The sequence below is a fragment of the Homo sapiens genome, chromosome 7 (assembly GCF_000001405.40).
Source record: "Homo sapiens chromosome 7, GRCh38.p14 Primary Assembly".
NCBI lineage: Eukaryota > Metazoa > Chordata > Mammalia > Primates > Hominidae > Homo > Homo sapiens.
In genome coordinates this window covers 34,873,045-34,879,044 of record NC_000007.14, presented here as the reverse complement: position 1 = coordinate 34,879,044, position 6,000 = coordinate 34,873,045, and the positions used below count along the sequence as shown (strand labels likewise).

The 6,000-nt window shown below is 47.1% G+C and overlaps 1 protein-coding gene across 2 annotated transcripts in view; it reads right to left on the bottom strand.

The window, feature by feature from the left end:
* NPSR1 (neuropeptide S receptor 1) overlaps positions 713 to 6,000 on the bottom strand; it is a 220,115-nt gene continuing 214,827 nt past the window's right edge. For both annotated transcript variants that reach the window (NM_207173.2, NM_001300933.2), the window contains exon 9: positions 713 to 969. In NM_207173.2, coding sequence (NP_997056.1) covers positions 861 to 969 — 109 coding nt within the window. In that variant the 3' untranslated portion in view covers positions 713 to 860. The remainder of the gene's footprint in view (positions 970 to 6,000) is intronic.

Below are 6,000 nucleotides of genomic sequence, written 5' to 3'. Positions count from 1 at the left end.
TCACAAAATCATATTTTCATTACGAACAGAATACGTGTTTATTATAGAAAGTCAGTTGAGAAAGGAATAAAGAAGAAAAACCTCTATCATCCTACAACTCAGATATGTGCGCATGCTTGAGTGTGTGTGTGTTTACAGAATCGGAGTTATACATTTATTATATACTAAAAAGTATATTGCATATATATTTACAAAATTGGACACACACTCTTAGCTACCTTTTGTGAAGTTATTTTTAATATTTGGATAGTTGTATTGTTTTGTGTAGATCAATATTTTCCAAATTTGGCCGTGCTTCACAATTGCCTGCGGAGTTGAAACATTTTTGCAAATTCCTGGGCTCTTTCCTGCATGTTATTGCATCAGAATTTCTAGGTTTAGAAGTCTGCCTTCTTTGCCAGGCACGGTGGCTCACACCTGTAATCCCAGCATTTTGGGAGGCTGAGGCGGGTGGATCACTTGAGGACAGGAGTTCAGCACCAGCCTGGCCAACATGGTGAAACCCCGTCTCTACTAAAAGTACAAAAAATCAGCCAGGCGTGGTGGCAGGCGCCTGTAATCCCAGCTACTGTAGGGGCTGAGGCCGAAGAATTGCTTGAACCCGGGAGGTGGAGGTGGCAGTGAGCCAAGGTCGCACCATTGCACTCCAGCCTGGGCAACAAGAGTAAACTCTGTCTCAAAAAAAAAAAAAAAAAAGAAAGAAAAAGAAGAAGTCTGCCTTCTTATAGCCCTCCCTGGTGAATCTGATGCAGGCCATCCTGCTGTGACCCATTTTGGGAACCACTGGTGTCCTTGTGCCCTGGTAAGCAGTGAGAAGTGGCACCAGGCACAGGGCCACCTGCAGCACAGGGTGAGAGCTGTCACCTTGGAAGAGCCCAGGAAGGTACACCTGGCCAAGTACCCTTCCAGTTCTCTCGTTGAGGGCAGAGCATTAGCGCAGCCTCCTGGAGCTGACGGAGACGGATGACCCTGGGAAAGAAGAAAGGCTTATTGAAATGTATAGGGACCTGGGTCTTCCTATTTGCATAAAAGGAAGGAATGTGTGACCTCACTGTGGTCATTTCTCATAAGATATAGTCTACCTCCCGCCTCGGTTCTTCACTTTGTACTTAATACCACCACAAATAGCCTTTTATTTTGGGTGACAGCTCTGCTTCATTCATCTTCTCCAACTCTTCCCTAAGGGCTGGGCCCTGCTGCCTCTTCTGGGTGTCTGTTTTGAAGTGACAACTGGCATTGTGGCCACTCCAGCTGAATGTGGACAGCATCTTTGAGCACCTGACTCAAAGCCTCCCTGGAGGCTTTAGAATTACTCTAGTGACTCTGCAGCCATTTCAGTTTTATGATTCTAATGGGCACCAACATGTTCTTCCATATCTGTCACCAATTCTACCCTGACGGCCGCCTCTCAGCCAACTGACCCCTCTGCCTCTGGTCTCCCTGGACTCCTCGAGTGGGTGGACCAGTCCTCATCAGGTGTGTGTAGTCTGCTACCTGGGCACTCACTATTGCTCCGTCCAGCTTTTCTGAGGCTGTGCCTCTGACCTTGACCTCCATCCCCTTCCCAGACCCCCAAATAGTGCAGTGACACTTGTCCCAACATCTGGGGCCTGGCTGCCACACTCTCTCTAGAAGCCCTTGTCTTGTCTTCCACTGCCCTCTCCTCAAGACTGTCTGCAAGGAGGCAGGAGTGGGCCACCTTCTTTGTGTCAGGTTTTGGATAAGGGGCCCTAAGGGCCACCATTTTGATCTCAGCTTGGCTCTGTGCTCTTGCCACCCCCACACCCCCATGCATCCAAGTCCCACCACCTGTCAGAACATTACCTTCCTGGCCCCACCCCATCAGAATTGTGGCTCATCAGTGGTCAGTGGCTACACTGTCCATGCTGAGATCCAGATCCTTTCGGCCATCAGAATGATTGTCATCTTGGTGGCCCCATCTTGTGGTTCATGAACCAAATGTAGACCTTCTAACTTCCCAACTCCTATGGAGCAGTGGTTACGGGTCTCTACTGTCCAGGAGTGGGGGGCAGGCCCAGGTTGTGTGTCTGTATGGGGGACTCAGGCTCTGCCATGTGACCTGCAGCCGTGACTCCCAGGCCTGATTCCCCAGTGACTCCTGCCACCCACTGACCCTCACTGCTGGAGTCCTGCAGCAGAGCTCCTGGCATTCCAAGTCTTTTTCTGCTGTCAGAGCATTTCTCTCTAACCTTGCTCAAAGAAAGCTGGATTCAGATCATATTCAATGGTCTCAGACAGAGGCTGAGTAGGAAAGTGGTCCCATAGAGGTCATGACTCAAGAGATATCAGCCTAGGTCCTTCTCGGACCTCCTGATACCATTTCCATGATTAGAGAGTCTTTCTTTTGAAACAGAAGCCATTGACTCTTTTGAAGTCCCCACTTAAATACAAATATTAGGTTGTATTAAAAGTAATGGCAAAAACTGCAACAGCTTTTGCACCAACCTCTAATATGTTGAGATGAATCATGCCTTAAGCCTTTCTCAGGGGGTGACATGGGCAGGACTGGGGCGGTGCTGTATGTACTAGTTGACAGGCAAAGGAAGCAATTTTTAGTTCTTTCTGAATTAGAATTCACAGTTTATGTGTCAAGAACTGTGCTAAGTACTTTCCTATGCTTCATTTCAGTTAATTTCATTGGCATATCACCACGTACAGCTAATATCAGCATCTGCATGTTGCAGACCAGGAAAATGAGATCCAAAAAGCATAAGCAAAATGCCTTAGTCACATAGCCAGTATGTGGGGTAAGGGTTTTGAACTTGGGCTTCCTGACATCTTGCTCCATGATGTGGGACAGCAGTGATATTTCCCTTCCCTCTTCTTTCTCTCCTCCCTTCCAAGCTGCAGTACAACATTTACAAATTCTGCCGTCTGCATCCTTCCCTGATCCGCTTGTGGTCTATGGCTGTCACCTCCTGTCCCACCTGTCTTTTGCCCCTTCATCTCTCCCTGCCCCACCATCCCTACCAGTCCCTGGCAAAGTTTGCTGTAGCTTTCCACCCTTTTCCTTGAGGAGAGACAAATAGGCCTTGCAGTGTGTCCAAGGAGCCACAGTGTTTCTGAGGAGGGTGGTGGGGCTCAGGAGGGGCTACAGGAACAGTGGCCATTATAATAGGGCTTTCAGGACTGGGCTAAGCATGGTGCACACACAATGCCTTGACTTTTGTCTCTTAATCATTTCCTGGTCCATTTGACTAGTTTCTGCCATTGAAATCCTTTAATAAAGGGTCATTGTGCTTCTTTCCCAAATAGAATTGGGTATGTCATTCCAAATGCAGATAGGAGCCCCGCCTTTTAGTCAGCATGTACAGTGCCACTGTCCCTGCAGCTCCTCATTCTCTCCTAACAATAGCAGCCAGGTGCTGCCAAAAGCATGACTCCGCACAGCTGGAGGCCTCCAGGAGGCACTGGGGCTCGACACCCTCTCAGGGAGCGCTTGATTCGTTGCCTCACATTTGGGGATCTCTAGGCCAATCTGGGGTGGAGGGTAGACTGATGATGGAGCCCCAGGGCCAGAGAACTTAGTGATCTGCCTGAATTTGCAGCCTTCCATCTCATTCCTTGAATCAGACCCTTGAGGTAGGGCGCCGGAAGCAGCTAAACTCTCTGGAAGACGTTACCCCTTAGAAGAGGGCTTCTCAATCTTCAATGTGTGGGAATCATCTGGGGATCTTTTTAAAATGCAAGTTTAGATTCAGCCTGAGAGTCTGTATTTTTACTAAGCTTCCAAGAAAGACCAATGTTGCTCCAAGGGCCCTGTTTTTTACTAGCAAAGGCTCAGGAACTTGCTCAGTATGGTCACTTTGACCTTTAATTACTTATGTGTGGGACTAGGGCCTGAATTTCATTGTCATGAAGAGTTCCATGCATTCATTCATTAATTCATTCATCCAATAAATATGCAAAGAGTGTCTACTATTGTTTTGGAATGATAATGCCATAGGGACGAGAATAGAATATACCTGATTGTAACTGGTCAGTGGTGGAAGCAGGCAATTAAGCTGATAATTAGGTATAGTGCACCAGGTGAGATAAGTGATAGAGGAAGTACTTCCCAGGAGCAGGATCCTTGAAAAATACATCTATTGCTGAAAAAAGCAGAGGTAGTTGGAGCCAGGAGAACAGAGGAAAAGGGAGAGCCAATGGTCTGCTTAGCCTTGATGGAGCAGTAAGTCCAGAAAGGGGAAAGGGAACCAACATGGCCTGCTGGGGTCATTTAACTTGGTACTCACATGGGACCTGGGTTTTCCTGTTAGTTTCTCATGCAGGGAGAGTTTGCCTGGCTCTGCTCACTTTAAATTATTCTCTCCCTACTCCCTTCCTCCCTCATTCACCATTCCTAGGGTCCTCAGAGGATGTTACCCAGAAGCTCCAAAGATCCAACCCTTTCAGCTTTCAGTGGTTTTAAGCAATAAGACAAGATGGTCTCACGGTTTAACTGAGGTTTCATTGAACATCCCATGAAATAATCCATTTCTGACTATTGCGGCCCTTGCGCAATTCCAGGGGTAGGACCTGGGGACAACATTAAATGACACCCCCACCCCCAAATTATCCCTCCTTTTTTTATTTTAACCGGTGCCCATTTTCATCAGGTCTCTACCCAGGAATCTTTGAATTCCTTGTAGCAGCCTGATGGTAGGGTGAATCTTAGGGTAATGTGAGCTCAAATATGACACCACTATGTTTTAAAATATTAAGTAATTTAGTTCTTACAAGAAGATCCTGACAGGCAATATTATTGTTTCTACATTACATTTGAGCAAAGGGAGGTGCACACAGATAAGCACTGCAACTTTCCTAGCATCACTGGGCTGGTGGTGGCCAGCATGCCAAGGCTCCCCTTAGCTGACTGGGTGAGGACCGTCCTCTAGTTCCAAGAGCACTGGGCTGGGGTGGGAAGCCAGATTCCAGTCTCAACTTTCTGCTTGTTGGGAAATTTACTCACTTCTCTGGGCCTCAGTCTTCTCCTCTTTCAAGAGAAGACTGTGTATCATTAGGGCTCTTGCCAGCTCTAACTCACCATGGCCCTTACAGGTATGAGTTGTTATAACTTTAGTTATCAATGATCAGTTAGGGGCTGACAATAAGGCCCCTTTGCTGCACTCAGGGGAGGTTGAATGATGAGGAGCCTGCTTTGTTCTGCACTGCTTCCTGCCGTCTTGTCTTCCTGCCTCCTGCCTAGGCTGTTTCTGAAGCCTGTTCCTGGCTTGCCCCACCTAGTCCAGCTGTCTTGGCTTTCATCTCTGTTATGGTTTGGATGTTTGTCCCCTCCAAATCTCATGCTGAAATGTAACCCCCAATGTTGGAGGTGGTGGCCTGGTAGGAGGTGGCTCCCTCATGAATGGCTTAGCCCTATCTGCTTGTTGAAGAGTGAGTTCTTGCTCTGGTAGTTCATGTGAGATCTGGTTGTTTAAAAGAGTGTGATACCTCCACCTCTCTCTTGCTCCTGCTCTGACCATGTGACACATTGGCTCCTCCTTCACCTTTCACCATGGTGTAAGCTCCCTGAGGCCTCCCCAGAGGTGGGTGCCAGCACCATGCTTCATGTAAAGCCTGCAGAATCATGAGCCAATTAAAGCTTTTTTTCTCTATAAATTAGCCAGCCTCAGGTACTTTTTTTTATAGCAGTGTAAGAATGGCATAACACAAAATTAGTACTGAGGAGTTGGGCATTGCTAAAAAGGTACCTAAAAATGTGGATCCAGCATTGGAACTGGGTAATGGGCAGAGATTGGAAGAATTTGGAGGTTTCAGAAGAAGACAGGAAGATGAAGGAAAGTTTGCAACTTGTAGACTGGCTAAATGGTTGTGACCAAAATGCTGATAGAGATATTGAAGTCCAGGCTGATGAGGTCTCAGATGGAAATGAAGTTATTAGGAACTGGAGTAAAGTCACCCATGTTATGCTTTAATGAAGAGCTTGGCTGCATTTTGTCCAGGCCCTAAGGCTCTATAGAAGTTTGAACTTAAGAG